Source organism: Homo sapiens, chromosome 7, assembly GCF_000001405.40.
Source record: "Homo sapiens chromosome 7, GRCh38.p14 Primary Assembly".
NCBI classification, from domain to species: domain Eukaryota; kingdom Metazoa; phylum Chordata; class Mammalia; order Primates; family Hominidae; genus Homo; species Homo sapiens.
The window spans coordinates 105,963,753-105,982,962 of NC_000007.14; the positions used below are offsets into that span (position 1 = coordinate 105,963,753).

General features: G+C 44.0%; 1 protein-coding gene across 2 annotated transcripts in view; it reads left to right on the top strand.

Annotated features, from left to right (window-relative positions):
- CDHR3 (cadherin related family member 3) overlaps positions 1 to 19,210 on the top strand; it is a 73,169-nt gene that overhangs the window by 489 nt on the left and 53,470 nt on the right. The window contains exons 2-3 of one of the 2 annotated variants that reach the window (NM_152750.5): positions 11,092 to 11,294; positions 17,216 to 17,381. In NM_152750.5, the coding sequence (NP_689963.2) occupies positions 11,092 to 11,294; positions 17,216 to 17,381 (369 nt within the window). The remainder of the gene's footprint in view (positions 1 to 11,091; positions 11,295 to 17,215; positions 17,382 to 19,210) is intronic. The other variant, NM_001301161.2, reaches the window with a different exon arrangement.

Consider the following 19,210-nt stretch of genomic DNA (forward strand, 5'->3'; position numbering starts at 1 on the left):
GTTGACAAGTGATCCTTTGAGGAAAGTGAGTTACTGAGGGGGTGTCTTCCTCTTGAGCAAAGAAAACACCTTCTGATAGAAGGGTCAAAGACTCAAGCTAGTGATCATTTTACTCTCTCTTCCTCATTCAAGGGCATCAAGAATCTTAGATGATCTTTTTAATGTCAGCTTGGATTATTGAAATTGAGATTTTAAAATTAAATTTTATTTCTGAATAGGTAGTATATGCATAATATATTGAATTTATGTTAAATTTGCAAATTAATTTAGGGATAATTTACATCTTTGACAAGTTATGTAGTAAAATACTTAGAAGAGTGTCTGAGTACATAGTAAATGCTTAGTAAATGTTAGTGAGTATTATTTATGATCTTGAGTCTTCCTAATCCAAGAACAGGGTTCTAGATACTTGTTTGAGTCTTCATTTGTTTTTCTTAGGAGTATTTTGAGGTTTCCTTCATATAGATTTGGTACATTCTTATTATGGTTATTTCTAGTTCTTTTACTTTTTCTTTTTTTACATTTGTAAATGGAATCTCTTCTTCCCTACATCTTTCAACTGATTATTGTATGATGTATGGAAATCTGTTAACAAATTATCTTATTATTTGGCATGGTTTTTCAGGTGATTCTCATGAATTTTCCACGTTTGAAAAAATGAACATTTATATTCTTCTTCTCCTATGTCTATAGCTCCTATTTTTTTCTTATCTAACTGCCAGGCCTGGACATTCTGACCATTATTAAATAATGACAAGAGTGTAAATTCCTGTCTTGTTTCCCATTAAGCATGATGTTAACTTTTGGTGTGAGAGAGAAATGTTTTATATGTTAAGGAGGTGGCTTTTATTCTTATTAATATAAGAATATTACAGTATTTATTTCTAAATAAAAATATAATAAAACTAAATGTAAGAATATTCAAGTACTTATTTCTAAATAAAAATGGATTTTTAAATCAAACGCTTTTTCAAGATCTATGAAAATGACCATTTAATTTTCCTCTTCGATCTGCTAATAAGATAAATAAATAACTGGGTTTCCTAATATTGAGCCCTCTTCTATCTTGGGCTTTTCAACTCAGCAGAGGGCAGGATGACCTGTGAATGTGAAGTGGGCCATGAGCAGTTCAGACTGTCACTTGAAGTAAACATTTCAGATTTCCCCCAGAAATATGGGCTTTTAGGGCCACAATCATTTGAGTCGAGGTGACTTTTATTGTCACTGGGGAAAGAGTGAGGTTAGGAAGAACCCAATTTCTTATACTGAACACTATCATTTGGAATTTTATCAGAAGTGTGAAAGGGATAGATCACAAAGGTTTGCAAGAAATACTTGAGATTTCTTATTTAAAACACACAATAGAATCCCTTAGGTCAAATCTTGTTTTTGGAAGGGCTACTGTGACACAAACTGTTTCTTTTGTGAGTCTGAGAACCTGGTCATTACCCTCACACTCCAACACCTGGGCTACAGAGGCTTCTAGCGGGGCAGCCACATCAGCACCCCTTCAGGCTGTTGGAAGCAGGCATCACTATAATAATCTCAAATAAAGTAACATACAGTAAAAAATTAGCAGAGCATGAAGACGGGTGCCTATAATCCTAGCTACTCAGGAGGCTGAGGCAGGAGAATCGCTTGAACCCAGGAGGCGGAGGTTGCAGTGAGCTGAGATTGCGCCATTGCACTCCAGCCTGGGCGACAGAGTGAGACTCCATCTCAAAATAAGTAAATAAATAAAGTAACATAGAGTATCCTCTTTCCTTTCATGTGTTCTAACTCCTATGCTTCCTTCAAGGCCCAACTCAAGCCCCACCCCCCCCCATGGAGTCTTCCTGGATTGACCTAGCTCCTGGGGAGTGCTCCTGCTGTTGCACCCTGGAGCTCCTCTTGCCTGCACATGGACTGCCTGCAAAGAGTTCAGTCCAGCACCTAATGCAGATTCAGTGCTCAGCCAAAAGTAGCATGAGCTATCATACTGTAATTCATCTGTTATATGGCCATTTCTGCCTCCTCAACTAGAATGTCAGCCCTGCAATAACAGATTTCATATATCTTATTGCTCATTGTCCCTGTGTGCCACATATATAGAGGATATCCAATACATATTTGCTGTTTTTATTTTTATACTTTTTGAGTCTGGTATGGTTTTTTCCCCACATTTACTGATACACCCCAAATGTAGAGCTTTAGATCTTCTTCCTGCTTGATATTGACATTTAAATTCACTTCTGTCCTTTCCACCTCCTATGAAGATGAGTTTCCCTTTGTGAAGCTATAGTGCCTATTCCACCAACAGCTTACAAAGGGAGGCTCTACAAGAATATAAACTAGACAAAACTTTCAACTGCCCCAGTGGAAAGAGTTGAGACAAAGCAGTCATCTGGCTCCATCAGTCCCAAAGGATCACATGTGAGTCCCAGAAGATGAAGGACATAGAGAAGGACCCTTGGTATTTTTAAATCCACTGCACATGGAAGCTGTCTATGTTTTGAAGAAGCATCCAAGGAACCAGCTTTTGTATTACCCTCCTGGAAATGAAAAATGCCAGGGTATTTAATGAAAGAAGGGATCCTTGGGAGCCAGAAGATTCACATGGACATGAAAAGGTACCAAACCCATCCAACTGAGTTTGTCCGCAAGCTCTGGGCAAGAGGCAATCACAGCTTTCTTCAGCCCATCATCTGTGCGTGGTTCTCTGCTAGCCAGTGTTGGCAAATCAAACAAAGGCCCAAGACTGAGTTTCTTATTCTCCTTGGTAATTAAAATGTAAATGCTTCTTAATGCTCTCATCATATGAAAAGGCTGGAAGATGCAATCCATTTCTAGAAAGTCTTTCTGTCAGCCAATTAACCCTATGTATCAGGCCCAAAGAGTGTTGCAAGAGGTTTCTACTTTTTCCGTCATGTCACTTTCCTGTTCAGAGTCACCTCAGAAGAACAAAAGACAGTCCCTTCTCTCAGCTCTTCCTTGCCCATGGCAACCTCACCCCCAGTGCAAGCAGTCAGGCAGTCACTGGAATCCATCCACTTTCGCCTCCATGTAGTTGGAAGAGATTTGAAAGAAACAAGCCTTTCTCAGGCCCACCCCATAGTGATGCTCTAAGATAAACACGTCTGTTTCTTGCCAGTTATGACCTAGCTGGTGCAAAATTAATCTTGGTTTTTGCCATTGAAAGTAATGGTAAAAACCACAATTACTTTTTTTTTTTTATTATTATACTTTAAGTCCTAGGGTACAGGTGCACAATGTTCAGGTTTGTTACATATGTATACATGTGCCATGTTGGTGTGCTGCACTCATTAACTCATCATTTACATTAGGTATATCTCCTAATGCTATCCCTCCTCCTTCCCCTCACCCCATGACAGGCCCCAGTGTGTGATGTTCCCCTTCCTGTGTCCAAGTGTTCTCATTGTTCACTTCCCACTTATGAGTGAGAACGTGCAGTGTTTGGTTTTTTTGTCCTTGCGATAGTTTGCTAAGAATGATGGTTTCCAGCTTCATCCATGTCCCTGCAAAGGACATGAACTCATCCTTTTTTATGGCTGCATAGTATTCCATGGTGTATATGTGCCACATTTTCTTAATCCAGTCTATCATTGATGGACATTTGGGTTGGTTCCAAGTCTTTGCTATTGTGAATAGTGCCACAATAAACATACATGTGTATGTGTCTTTATAGCAGCATGATTTATAATCCTTTGGGTATAACCCAGTAATGGGATGGCTGGGTCCAATGGTATTTCTAGTTCTAGATCCTTGAGGAATCGCCACACTGACTTCCACAATGGTTGAACTAGTTTACAGTCCCACCAACAGCGTAAAAGCGTTCCTATTTCTCTGCATCCTCTCCAGCACCTGTTGTTTCCTGACTTTTTAATGATCACCATTCTAACTGGTGTAAGATGGTATCTCATTGTGGTTTTGATTTGCATTTCTCTGATGGCCAGTGATAATGAGCATTTTTTCATGTGTCTGTTGGCTGCATAAATGTCTTCTTTTGAGAAGTGTCTGTTCATATCCTTCACCCACTTTTTGATGGAGTTGTTTGATTTTTTCTTGTAAATTTGTTTTAGTTCTTTGTAGATTCTGGATATTAGCCCTTTGTCAGATGGGTAGATTGCAAAATTTTTCTCCTATTCTGTAGGTTGCCTGTTGACTCTGATGGTAGTTTCTTTTGCTGTGCAGAAGCTCTTTAGTTTAATTAGAACCGATTTGACAATTTTGCCTTATGTTGCCATTGCTTTTGGTGTTTTAGACATGAAGTCCTTGCCCATGCCTATGTCCTGAATGGTATTGCCTAGGTTTTCTTCTAGGGAAAAACCACAATTACTTTTACACCGACCTAATATAATGTACAGAATCACTAGTTGAATCACCTTTCCTTCTGTGTCCTATAAAGGGCTCTTTTCTGTTAATCTTGCTTGGCCTGGATTGTTCCTTGTTCCTCCCAAAAAAGGGGGTGGGTGAACATCTCATTCAGGAAGAGGTATATATTGTGGAAATTAAAGAAATAGGAAAAAGTTGCATATGTTGAAACAACATTTGACAATGCTTTATAGTTTACTGAGCATATGCATTTTCTTTTCTTTCTTTCTTTCTTTTTTTTATTTTTTATTTTTTTGAGATGGAGTCTTGCTTTGTTGCCCAGGCTGGAGTGCAGTGGCGTGATCTGGGCTCACTACAACCTCCACCTCCCAGTTCAAGTGATTCTCCTGCCTCAGCCTCCCAAGTAGCTGGGATTACAGGCAGCTGCCACCACACACTGCTAATTTTTGTATTTTTAATAGAGGTGGGGTTTCACCATGTCGGCCAGGCTAGTCTCAAACTCCGGACCTCAGGTGATCCACCTGGTTCGGCCTCCCAGAGTGCTGGGATTACAGGTTGAGCCACTGTGCCTGGCCGAGCATATGCATTTTCTTATGTGGCATCTGTGCTGTGAGAATAAGTTTCCATAGGCCTGATATTAGCCTGAATTTTTCTGCTGAAGTTCGTGAACCACACTGACCCCTAGTCAAGGCATGAAGCATGCTGATTAATAGTGTTGCTTTGGCTAGGTGCGGTGGCTCACGCCTGTAATCCCAGCACTTTGGGAGGCTGAGACGGGCAGATCATGAGGTCAGGAAATTGAGATCATCCTGGCTAACACGGTGAAACCCAGTCTCTACTAAAAATACAAAAAGTTAGCCAGGCGTGGTGGCGGGCACCTGTAGTCCCAGCTACTAGGGAGGCTGAGGCAGGAGAATGGCATGTACCCGGGAGGCGGAGCTTGCAGTGAGCAGAGATCGCGCCACTGCACTCCAGCCCGGGGGACAGAGCGAGACTCCGTCTCAAAATAAAAATAAAAATAAAAAAAGTGGGCCGGGCGTGGTGGCTCACGCCTGTAATCCCAGCACTTTGGGAGGCCGAGGCGGGCGGATCACGAGGTCAGGAGATCGAGACCATCCTGGCTAACACGGTGAAACCCCGTCTCTACTAAAAATACAAAAAAAAATTAGCCGGGCGAGGTGGCGGGCGCCTGTAGTCCCAGCTACTCGGGAGGCTGAGGCAGGAGAATGGCGTGAACCCCAGGGGGCGGAGCCTGCAGTGAGCCGAGATTGCGCCACTGCACTCCAGCCTGGGCGACAGCGAGACTCCGTCTCAAAAAAAAAAAAAAAAAAAAAAAGTGTTTCGTTGTAACCGTGGGTCCTAGGAGTTTCTGAATGGTTTGTAGCAGCTTGTAAGCGTTGTTTATTGATAACAGTGGGATTGATTATTTGCACCTGGTCTCAACGAGGACCTTCTGTGGGTTCTGCCGTTGAGGCCAGTTATAGAACAAGAATATGCCTACAGCAAAATAGAAAAAAATCCCAGTAAAGACTCCATAATTCCAAGATATTTGTGCATACATTGGCTGTTCCTGATCCAAGACAGTGCATTCTTCCGTCCCATAGAGAAAAGACAACAGTAAGAGCCTAGCCTGCACCTGGCCTCTGTGGATCTCCTGCTGAGGCAGCCTTCAGCTGTAGTGCATATCCTTACTTTCATGTTGTTGCTATGCTGTATCCGTTTTCTGTAATAAAACTGTAGATTTATAAGCATTGTCACTTGGGTCCCATGAGTCTTCTTTAGCAAAGGAACCCTGTTTAGTGGCTACTGTTAATGTAGCACCATAGCCCTGAGAGACAGAGTTGACAGGAACCCCCAGAGAAGTCAAGGGACCAGCCTAAGGTCACACAGTCAAGCAGTGGCAAAGCTAAGACTTGAAGCCAGGGGTCTGATTCCAAATCTCTCGTTCTTTTCACAGAACTGATTTTGTTCACTGCTGTTTGATTAGGTACTAGAGAGAATGAAGAGGTAGCTATTGAGTGATGGTCTCAGGGAGTCCTGCTCTGTGTATTGAAAGCAGAGCTCTAAGTTAGAGCAGCTACACCCCAAGAAGAAGATGGCATCACCCCACATTCTTGACCCGCATCTCCACTTTCAGTGTCAAAGGTCCAGGGTGGCCAACTTCCTCCTCTCTGAGACTGTGGAAGGCTTAATTATCCCAACATAGGCTCCCAGGGAAGCCCCATTGGTCCATTTCTGGAGAGGCAGTGATTCAAGGGAGACAAGTGAGCACATCCTGCATCCAGATCTTAGCCACAAGCAAGATGTTTCAGTGGGCGCCATGGCTGACAATAAATCTTTTGCATGCTCTTTCTTTTCCAAAGTACGTGCTTCAAGCAATTCTAATTTGATTCTTAATTAAGATGCATGTGTAAGTCAAATTCCATTAGAGCCTCCTTCTTGCTCTCTAGCACTCAGACCACCAAAGAAAGCCTGGAAGACCAGCCATGGAAGGAAAGTATGCGGTGTTTTAGGGAGAGCTGGCACCTGGCCTCTAATCTTCCCTCTGCCATTGACCAGATGGGTGCCTTTGGATACATCACTTAAGCTTACCTGTATAACAGATGGGTTTAACATTTTGTGAATATTGTATCTTATTCATTACTCTATTTTTAGGGTATGGACCCTAGTCACTTATTATCCTTGCTATTGCTATTATTACTACTACTACTTCTTTTACAAATAGCAATAGAGCTGGAGAAACCGGATTTTGAATTAAGGTCAGGAGAACCCAGCTTGGCTATCTTTTTAAAAAAATCAGTATCCCCAGCACTTTGGGAGGCCGAGGCAGGTGGATCACAAGGTCAGGAGATCAAGACCATCCTGGCTAACACGGTGAAACTCCGTCTCTACTAAAAATACAAAAAAATAGCCAGGCATGGTGGCAGGTGCCTGTGGTCCCAGCTGCTCAGGAGGCTGAGGCAGGAGAATGGCGTGAACCCGGGAGGCAGAGCTTGCAGTGAGCCAAGATCGCGCCACTGCATTCCAGCCTGGGAGACAGAGCGAGACTCCATTTCAAAAAAAAAAAAAAAAATCAGTATCCCTAGGACTGCCTAGGTCTGCCTCAAAGGACTGCCTAGGACTGCTAGGTCTGCCTAGGTCTGCCTCAAAGTTTTAAGGATTCATTTGCATGACCCTGGCACACACGGCCTTGCCCTGGGAAGAGAGGCCACCTGAAAAAATGTAGATCATTTCTAGCAAGAATATCGGCAGAAAGGGCATATCCAAGGACAGTCTGGCTTTCACCATACATGGGACAGGCGGTTCCCAATAAAAATTGCTTGAGAGTCACTGGCTATATCCACTTCTTCAAAAATATCTCTCACTGCCATTCAAAATATGACCATTCAAGGAGGACGATAAAAAACACTCTGATTTAAGGAGACATCATGGAGCTGTCCTTGGAGTCAGATGCCTAGGATTGGAATGCTGGATCTTTCATGGAATTAGTCTCTCAGACCCAGGAATTATCAAAGTTATGATCAATTCAAGAAAATCAGTGGATATACTTCTAGCAAAGCAAACCAGGAGCTATCAGCAGGCAATATTTGGGGAGCATGGCTTCTCTACAGTCCCCAGCTCCCCAAAGGAGCTGCACTAAGGTTGGGAGGCACAGTGATCTCTCCACTCGGGGTGAGGCTGTGGAGAGCCCTGAGTGGAGCTTAGCAAGTCCCTTCTACCTGAGCTCACACCACGCTCACACTCCAGCACAATTCTTCGTGTTGTTCCAGAAACAGCCTCTTACAAATCACATCATCAAGATCTAACATCCAGGTTAAAGGTCAATTTCTTACCAGCCCCCACAGCCATGTTGTTGCAGTGTCCCAGGGTGACTGAATAACTATGATGCATCCTATGTGCATGGTCATGTGACAGGCATGGAGTGACCGACTGTCTGTAGTAGGTATGTGTAGTCTGTTAGGTACAAGATCCAGATACCATGAGCCAGGGCCCTCCATGACTGTTCCCTGAGTGGTATAATCTCAGATGTGTGCAATGGTGACAGCAGTATAATCTCAGATGTGTGCAATGGTGACAGCAGTATAATCTCAGATGTGTACAATGGTGACAGCAATACCTATGTCGGAGGATTGTGCTGGGATTAAGGGGATCAGGCAGTCAAGGAGCTAGCATGATGCCAGCTGAGCAGGTGCTTGATAAATGAAATGGGTACTTATTTTAGTCTATTCGTTTGGGCTAGGCACGATCTTACCCTAGGCTATTATTGAGAAAAACATAGCAAGTTCTAACTTTGCTTGTTGCCTGGAGGGGCACGAGTCACTGGAGAGGGTTGGAGGGGGCAAGGGAAGAATATGGGTGAGAATGTGGGCATCCCATGAGACAGATTGCCAACTTTCCATTTCCTGTACAGCTGTCCTTGTCTTGCTAAACAGTGAGGGAACACTCTCATGAACAGCTCAGAGAGGTATGCATTTGCGAGAAAAGAGAATGGGAGGGAATTATGCCCCAAATACCCAACCCATCAAAGCAATAGAGTATTTTGCTCATTTTGAAAAACTGTTTTTGAGAGCTTTGTCTCTAAATACTCCAACCATACTCTTTCACTCCTGGTTTTTACCATAAGAATGCTATAATATCAAAGTCAATTGTAATAGATTTTTAAAAATCTATTCATATTCGCATCACCCTAAACTTCAGCTGTTTTGATATTTCTGAGTCCTTGCACAGTCCTTGTCCATAAAACTTGATAATTCTGCGAGCGACAATAACTTATGCATTATGCATTTTAGCCTCTAAACTAAATAAGATGACTTTAGATTTTAAAAGCTTGTATCAGTGAATGTGCTTATATTTCAATTTTTTCCTCTTTTCCATTTACTCCTCTGCACTCACCCCACCCCGCACCAACTGAAATAAAACATCCTGGTTTGTTTGTTCCTAGAACATTTATACCTTTCAGTGGGACAGAACCTTCTACTGTCCCTACCCACTCCGTGCCTCCTACTTGTTCAGGGTTTTCTTCTCAGGGTCTGATGGTGGCTGAGATTGGGAAGCTGGCTGGGAAGGGGGACCTGTGTAAATCTTGGCTCTGTTATTTATTATTTGCTGTGTGGATTTCAGCTCAGTTTCCCCATCTGTAAAATGACATTAATACCTGTCTGAGAGGAGTGTTTGAGGAGTAAGTGAAATACAGGATTTTACATTTTGCACTTATTTGTAACATTGGATAAATGATCATTGTATTCGTTTCCTAGGGCTGCTGTAACAAACTATCACACAACAGAAATTTATTCTGTCACAGCTCAGAAGACCAAAAGTCTGCAATCAAGGTGTTGGCAGTGTTGGTTCCTGCTGGGGGCTCTGAGGGAATATCTGCTCCATGCCTACCTCCTAGCTTCTGCGTTTGCTTTCCATTCCCGGGCTTGTAGCTGCATCACTCGTCTCTGCCTCCATTATATCATGGCCTTTTCCCCTCTGTGCGTGTCCTGTCTTCTTATGAGGACACTGACCACTGGATTTAGGACCCACCCTCATGCAATATGACTGCCTCTCAACTAATTACACCCATGAAGACTCTATTTCCAAATAAGATCATTCTTGGCTGGGCATGGTGGCTCACGCCTGTAATCCCAGTATTTTGGGAGGCTGAGGCAGGTGGATCACTTGAGGCCAGGAGTTCAAGACCAACCTGGCCAACATGGTGAAACCTCGTCTCTACTAAAAATACAAAAATTAGCCAGGCATGGTGGAGCACACCTGTAATCACAGCTGCTTGGGAGGCTGAGGCATGAGAATCGCTTGAACCCAGGAGGCAGAGGTTGCAGTGAGCCAAGATCTCACCAGCCTGGGTGACAGAGTAAGACTGTCTCAAAAAAACAAAAACAAATAAGGTCATTCTGCAGTTCTGGGTGGACATGAATCTTTTGGGGACACTGTTCAACCCACAACAGTAATTATCATTATGGAAGGCTGAGAGAATACAGCTTGTTCCTTTTCTCTGCACTGGCAAAGTCTTGTAGTGTTGTGCACCTTAGAATGGTCCCAAGGCTTTCCTGGAAGAAATGTGCTTTCTATTAAATTGTAAAATTCCCTGCCTGTAAGGCAGCCCAAGGCAATTCACATGCCATCCCTGAGCCTCTTGTTTCCTCCTCTGTGGAATGGTTGTTAATCTACCAACCAAGAGGTACTGCTTGGCCCTCTGCATGATGCCTACAGAGTCCAATAATAACCAAAAATTGTCCTTGAGATTACTAATGGACTTGGAGAGATTTACCATGATTTTGGTGTTCTCCAGTCATGCACACTCAATTCTCAGATGACCTCTAGATTGCTGACGCAGAGAAGGAAAACAAACTCTTGTAAGCTACAGGGCCCTGGCAAGAGAGAAGATGACATTATGAGGCAAGTTTCTTTAGGCGGATGTCTGTCTCCTAAGGTGTCACAGTTCTCTTTCCCTGCTCTTCCCAAAGGCTGGGAGAAAAGAGAAGGGAAGCAGGGAGACAAGAGAAAAGCAGCAGCTTTATTTACTGAGTGACAGAAGCAGATTTCTTGGTTGTTTGGTGGTGGTTGTTTTCTTGGCTCCCAGAAGATCTCACATATACATTGCCAGCACTTGGCAAGAGCGTTTGTTCTCGGGGAGTGACCAGCTCTCATCGTCACCCTGAGCTACGAATTGAAGCCACAAACCAAGCTGTTAAGTCCCTGTTCCCAGCAAAAGGCTTTGTGTTCATGTCATCCTGCACCCTTTTTACTCCACAGGGGGAGAAGCACTACACCTAATCCTCTTACCTGCTACAGGCAATGTGGCAGAGAATTCTCCACCTGGGACTTCAGTGCACAAGTTTTCTGTGAAGTTATCAGCATCATTGTCACCTGTGATCCCAGGATTTCCCCAGATAGTCAACTCAAATCCCCTCACTGAAGCTTTTAGGGTGAATTGGCTGTCAGGCACCTACTTTGAGGTAAGTAACAACTTACCAACATGAGTGTTGCCTGCAAAGAGGTGATCCTGAAAATGAGGGTGGATGGGATGCCAGATCAGTGATTAATTCCTCCATCTGGTTTAATCTTCCCTCTTGTAAGGTCCAGGAGTCCTGTCTGAGGCATCCCAGGGCCTTCTGTGCTAAGATGCTCGTGTAGCCTTTGGACCTTCCCCACTCCATACAGTTTACATAAGCATTATGCTCAATGTGTTGCAAATAGAGAGCTGCTTCTTATGGCCTCCATCCCTCACATGACATCAGGTGTTTGGTGTGCCTACAGTATCTAAATTCTTTCGGTGGAGTAGTTTGGATATTGATCTCCCTAAAAGCCATGCCCTGATGTACTTGTGTCTAGTGATTCTGCTTTCCTATGAGTCTGATTTTTTCAGAAGATAATCTAAGAGGAGACTTATTTAATTAAAAAGCCATACACCCTTTAACAAAAATATAAGTCTAAATGTCCAGCCCTACCATGTGAATGTTTCCTCTTGGATAATTCAGAGCCAACCATTGACATTCAAGAGGCATGCCTCTGCTGCTCTGTTTTCTAGTTTGTCATTTGAATCTTTTCCAAAGCTGTCACTTCCCTAAAGTGGGGACAAGCCTGCTTCTTGCATGCTTTCCACTGGTAACCGCAGAGGCCTTCTAAGGTGTCTTTAGGGTCCCATGTCTGGATCTGCCTATGTTTCAGTATTCCCTGCCCCCACCTCCTTCCTCAACTGTCCTGGGAACTTCCTGCTGTTATCATCAGCTCTGCCATTGGTCCAACCTGCCATTCCTCTGGGTCCTGAGTCAGGGTTGCTTCCCTGAGGTTCCCATTACGTGTTCTTAAACTCAGCTTATCATTAGTCACTAGGAGAGCTTTGAAAAAGCATGCATATTGGGGCCCTGTAGCAGACCTGCGGAACCCATGACTGGAGGCCAGAGCCCAGATTTCCGGTATTCTCATCACCCTGGGGGAGCCCTCGGGGAGGTAAGGAGCACACATTCAGTCAGTCTACATTGCAGCATGCGGTTTACATTCCTGGGTCCCAGATGCTGGTTCTGTGACTGAACTGCCCTGTCTACTGACTCCCTAGACATTCAGCTTGTCTTTAACAGCTGCTGCTGCTCCTTGGTTCCTGTAAGCCTTGTCAATTGCTTACCCTTATAGAGCACGTTGTGTACACTGGGTACTGTTGACAGTGCTTTGCGTGTGTTTGCTTTTCTAGTCTCAAAACATAAGGATTGTATCCATCTTATTACCTCCTTTTCACAGATGGGGAAAATGACGCACAGAGAGATTAGGTAATTTGCCCTGGGTTGTACAGCTAGTAGGTAACTAAGCTGAGAATGGAAGCCAGGCAGTCTGGCTCCAGTGCTCTCATTTTAAAAAACAGCTTTATTGAGTATAATTCACAGAGCATATACTCCAGCCATTTAAATTGTACAATTCGGTAGTTTTTAGTATATTCACAGTCATGCAAGCATCACCACAATCTAATTTTAGATTATTTTCATCACCCCAAAACAAAACCCTGTACCCATTAGCAGTCACTCAGCTATTCCCTTATCCCTCCAATCCCTGGCAACCACTAATCTACTTTGTCTTTATGGATTTTCCTATTCTGGACATTTCCTATGAATGGAATCATTATAGTATGTGGTCTTTAATGACTGACTTCTTTCCCTTAGCATAAGGTTCCAAGGGTCACCCATGTTGTAGCCTGGATCAGTACTTCATTGCTTTTTATGGCTGAATTATATTATGTTCCATATTTTGTTTTTTCATTCATCAATTGACAGACATTTGGGTTGTCTCCACGTGGGAGTTCTCATCCTTAGCATTTATGGTCTACAGCATTTAGTGATGAAGATGATCATGTTCCTTTGAATTTGCATAGAGGCTCCAAGGCACATTCACATACCTGATCTCTTTTTTTTTTTTTTTTTTGAGATGGGGTCTCACTATGCTGCCCAGGCTGCACTTGCATTCCTGGGCTCAAGTGATCCTCTCGCCTCAGCCTCCCCAGTAGCTGAGACTACAGGCACTGCACCACCACACGTGGTTTCATCTCTTGATTGTTACAACATTAATATCACTATTTAGAAATGTTTTATTCCTGTTTTAGATATAACAGAGACCCAGCAAGTTTAAATGATTTATCTGAGATCACATAGCCGTAAAAGGTGAAATAAGAACTTCATTCAGTCTCCTGATTTCCAGTTCCAGGCTTTCTGTCATATTGCCATGTATGTCTATCGCTGTTTGTGTGAGCTCTCAACTCTTTCTTCAAGGGACCTGCTCTTCCCACATTCTGTGGGATTCAAGCAGGGCTGTTAATCAAGGAAGAATTCCATCCTGTTCCTAACCTCTAGAAATGGCAGATTGCTTAGCACCTCAACTCATCTAGGCTCAAGTGTTTGGTGTATTGTCCTAGTCCTGTGCCCTCCTTGCATCACATCCCGCAGCTGCGTACAACCCTGTGTTGGTACTAAGATGGGCCACAGTTTCACAAGTCATGAAGCTGTTCTTAAGAACTGATTGCTTCTCCCCAGAAACTACCCAACGTCCTCTACCATCCCTCCAAGAAGATCCTACTCTCCAACCGAAATTGCTCACAAGAGTTACTCCTGCAGCCTTCCAGACATGAAAATCTCCATGGCAGAATCTGGCCCCTCCTTGGATAGCCTTGACATTCTGGAGGATGGCGAGTCTGGGTCACCATTTCTTGTGACTCATTTGTACTTTCTGGGGGTAAACTCCAAATCATGCAAGAGGCCAAGCCTCCCTGCTTTGGGACACAGCTATTGAGACTTCTGGTGGTGCAGGGGGTGGTGAGGAGGAGTAATGATAATAATGAGGAGGAGGATGCTAACATTTCATTTACGGGGCATTTACCATATGCCAGGAATTTCCCTAAATATTTTGTGAATGCATTTATTTAATCCTCATAAGAATGCTATGAAGTGGTGTACTGTTGCTTGCACACTGAAGGTGGGAAAACTGAGGCATAGAGAGGTTGAGCAACTTGCCCAAGTTCACATAACTAGGAGATGGCAGGCTTGAGATTTGCAATCAGGTAGGCTGCCCCAAGAATTATTGTTCATAGCCCTCATGCTGCGCTGGTTTGCTACTGCCCAGCAAGAGGGATGTCCTCATTCAGCCACTTGTAGCTAATCATAGGTCAAGGGTGTTTTCCTGGAGCAGCACCAGAAGCATAGCTTAAGAGGCCAGGGAAGAGTGACTGCCAGCTGGCTGCGGAGAGAGGGGCTCTCTGAAGTCCTGTGGAGGCCAGCACCTGCCCCTCTTTCATTTGTCCATCTCTGAGCTTGACTCCCCTCTTTTCCCATCTACTGTCGTGAGCACTGTGGCCTACAAATGTGCTCGGCCTTATCCAGAACAACCTCAAATTTAACATGCCTAAAGTGAAACTTACTGTCTTTCACTAAAACTCTGTAGCAAGGTTGCCCACAACCAAATCGAGGGTCCACCACTCCCAGCTATGACCTTAGGAGAGCTCCTTCCCCTCCCTCTCCTAGCTAATCTCCTTAAATGTGAAATGGAGGAAGTTTTACCAACCTATGGTCATTGTGACAATCAAATGAAATACTCCACAGAATGACTTGGCAAGTCTGGCACATAAATGCTCAATAAATGCTGGTAACAACAACAACGAGAACAGTTTTTCCATTTGTGTTGAGAGCAACCCCATTCTTTTGGTTCCAAGATACAACATTTTTGGACCATTTTTTGACTGTTCTATTTCCTTCCTCTGGGGTGTGAGAGCTACTCCCCAAGGAGAAGAGGCTGGCAATAGGTAATACTGAGGTCAAGGATCTATCCAAGCTTGGCATGCAGGAGGAGGCTCCAGGCTTAGCAGGGAGCCAGGTTGTAAATCAGGAAGCCAGGGTGTAAATCATGAGAGGGGATCATCTCAACAGAAGTCCACCTGCTCTGGTGGACATATATTCCTTGAACAGTTTTTGACTACTTAATGATTAGAAAAGTCACCATTTGCAGAGTGTTTGCTCAGTGCCAGACAGTCTTCTAAGTACTTCCCATAGATTAGCTCATCGAATCCTCATGATAACCCAAAAAGTAGGTGTTATTATCCCCATTTTACAGATGGGAAAACTAAGGCACAGGAAGGTTAAGCAATGGGAAGGCTGGGCTTTCAAGCCAGTCAGTCTGGCTCCAGCATCTGTGTGTTTGACCCCTGTGCTGCCCCTCACTACCATGTGCCCAGCATAGAGACCAGTTCATCTACACTTACGTGGCTCCTAGGTTGCCTCTGTTCACCAGTAGACACAAGAATACCTCTTTTTCCCCCCTCGACAATCTTCCATACCCTCTCCTTTCACCACAAGTACTCATTCACATCTGTGGCCCTGTTCTCTTAACCAACCTAGAACTTGCAATGTCCAACATAATACCTACCAACTCCTCTACGAAGCCTTCCCCAGCTAAACACAGCTCACAGTGAAGTTTTCTCTCCTTCAGTTTCCATAGTAGCTTGACCTAGCTTTTTAATACCTTGTATCATTCTTCAGCTGTTTAACTAGGGCAATGATTATTTCCCTAGTTACAATCACATGGAAACAAAATCAAGGAAAGGGAAGGTGATTTTCCCAAGGCCACCCAGAAGTTCAGTGGTGGAGATGGAGTTGGAGCCAAGTTCTGTCTTCACAGCAAGATGCTGAGTGTCTCATCACCTGGCCCTAGTCATATTAATAACCGAAAGGTTCTACTGACATAATTAAGGACATACATGGAATTTAGTCCTCAATGTCCCCAGGGGCTCCGGGCCTTCTGGGAGTTCAAGGCTCTAAGTTGGTGGGAGTCTGTGCCTATAGATACGAGCAATCACAGGCTGGTCTCCAGTTGGTTTCAGCAGGACCCTCCCAACACAGACCGCCAGAGTTCCTGCTGGCAATAGCTCTAGATTCTGGTGATGTCTCTCTGGCCCTGTTCCTCGCATCCCTCCCACATCTACAAAATACTGATAGTGCAGACAACAAAAGCTCCTGACAATGGAAGAATGTGTGGAAAGGCACAAAGAAAGTGAACAGTCTGTTGATTAAGTAAATATCATTACTTACGCAGATGTATCTTTCATCTCTTGTTTATTTTTGGATGTGGCTTTGGGAAAATTAGAATGAAGTGATGAGTCAAGATATAACTTAACGGCAATCCCAGGAAAGCTTAGTATTCTTTTTTTAAATTTTTTATTTATCATGTTTAATGATGAGGTTTGTTGCACAATGGACCTGCAGCAACCTTACGCGTAATATAAGATGTGCATGGTCTTAGACCCTTGAACATCAGCATATAGATGTGCATGTATACAAGTTATGGTTCTATTTTTATTTTTTATTTATTTTTGTAATTATACTTTAAGTTTTAGGGTACATGTGCACAACGTGCAGGTTTGTTACATATGTATACAGGTGCCATGTTCTTAACAATGAGGAAATCTAACTATATTCAGGGTAGTTAAAGGATTTTTCTAGGAGCCTACCCCCAAGTAGTGGAAGGTTTTTTTTTTTTTTTTTTTTAATTTTTTTTTTTTTTAATTTTTTTTTTTTTTTATTATACTCTAAGTTTTAGTGTACATGTGCACATTGTGCAGGTTAGTTACATAAGGCTTTCCATCTCCAGTCAATTGCATCAGAAGGTCTCCTGACTATTTTTCTTTCCTAGGAAACGCAGCATCACATGCAGGAGTCCCTTTAGTGAAGTATCATAGGGCTTATGTTGGAAGGACTAAGGCAAAACAACTGGTTCCTCTGACAGTGAATGAATGCTGGTTTCCGGGATGCCAGATGCTTCCTTCCTAGGAATATCCCTTTGCAAAGTGCATGCATGCAAAACAGATCTTCTTTCACATGGTTACTAAGAATTTTGCATTTTGTTTTAGGTTGTCACCACTGGGATGGAACAACTAGATTTTGAAACAGGACCAAACATATTTGATTTGCAGATTTATGTGAAGGATGAGGTTGGTGTCACAGACCTGCAAGTCCTGACTGTCCAGGTAACAGATGTGAACGAGCCACCTCAGTTTCAAGGCAACTTGGCAGAAGGTAGGATACACCAGGATGTGCACTGCAGCCCAGACAGTGGCATCAGGGAGGGCCCTGGGGGACAGAGAGAAACAGAAAAAGTAAATAAACAAGCAGCTGTTTCCCTGGAAAAGGCAGCTGCTTAATGAGCAGGGAATAAATGAAATGTCCTCCAGCTCAACACTCCCAATAATAATGTCCAACAGTTTGCAAAGCCCTTCACAGGCAGGGTTTCTCCTGGTCCCCTCCCAGTCCCAGGGAGGAAACTGAAGCTCAGAGAGAGACCTCGAGTGGATCATTGTGGAGGAACCTGGCTGAGCTGCCCCTAGGCTCATCCCTGTGTACCCTGGTCATTGACTGGCTTGTTCATTCTCCCCATGGACTCTGACTTCTTGAGGGCAGCGTGTTTCTGCTACAATAGGGACAATGTAAGGGACCAGAGCACACAGTAACTAATGTCTTACAGGATCTCCCCCAAGCTCATGGCTTTGAGCATCATCCCTATTCTGACAACTTTCAAGTCTGTCATTTCAGTTCAGGTTCTGCCCTGAGCTGTGGCGGTCGTAACACAAACATCCACCTTTCTCACCCAGCATCTCCACTTGGATGTTTGACAGGTCAAACTTAATGTGCTTCTGAACCAAACTCCTGGCTTCCTCTCCACCCTCCACCCCCACCCAAATCTGCTTCTCCTATATCTTTCCCATTTTGGTTAGCAGTAACTCCATCCTTCCTGTTGCTTGGACCAAGCCTTGAGTCATCCTTGACTCCTCTCTCTTTCACACTTGACATGAAATCCTTTAGGAAATCTTGCCAGCTTCTAAATATACCCAGAACCTGGCCCCACCCTAGTGTCTGCATCACTACCACCATGGTCCAAGCCACTCATCCCATCTCACCTGGATTGTTGCAATGGCTGGCAGCTGGCCTCCCAGCCCCCCTGCAGTCTGTTTTCCATACTGCAGTCAGAGGGATCCTATTAAAACGTCAGTTAAATCAAGGCACTCCTCTGCTTAAAACCCTACAAGAAATTCCCGTCTCACTCAAAGGGAGTCTCCTTAAGAACCAATTAAAGGCCGGGCGCGGTGGCTCACGCCTGTAATCTCAGCACTTTGGGAGGCCGAGGCAGGTGGATCACGAGGTCAGGAGATTGAGACCATCCTGGCTAACATGGTGAAACCCCATCTCTACTAAAAAATACAAAAAATTAGCTGGATGTAGTGGCGGGTGCCTGTAGTCCCAGCTACTCAGGAGGCTGAGGCAGGAGAATGGCATGAACCCGGGAGGTGGAGCTTGCAGTGAGCTGAGATTGCTCCACTGCACTCCAGCCTGGGTGATAGAGCGAGACTCTGTCTCAAAAAAAAAAAAGAAAAAAAAAAAAAAGAACCAATTAAATCTGGCAAGCTGCCTACATTCCTTACCCTCCTACCCCTCCTCCTTTCCCCTTCTCCCCCTCAGTCCCTGTGACCCAGCCTCTGGCCCCCTTACTGATCTGCAAATGCCTCAAACATGACCCTACCTCAGCATTTTGCATTTGCTGATTCCTCTGCCTCCCCTCCTATCTCCTGGCTCTTCCTCATTTCTTTAGGGACAGGTGCAGTGGCTCATACCTGTAATCACAGCACTTTGGGAGGCTGAGGTGGGAGTATAGCTTAAGGTCAGGAGTTCAAGACCAGCCTGGGCAACAGGGCAAAACCCTATCTCTACAAAAAATACCAATATTAGCCAGATGTGGTGGCAGGTACCTGTAGTTCCAGCTACTCAGGAGGCTGAGGTGGGAGGATCACTTGAACCTGGGAGGTCGAGGCTGCAGTGAGCTATGTTTGTGCCACTGCACTCCAACCTGGGTT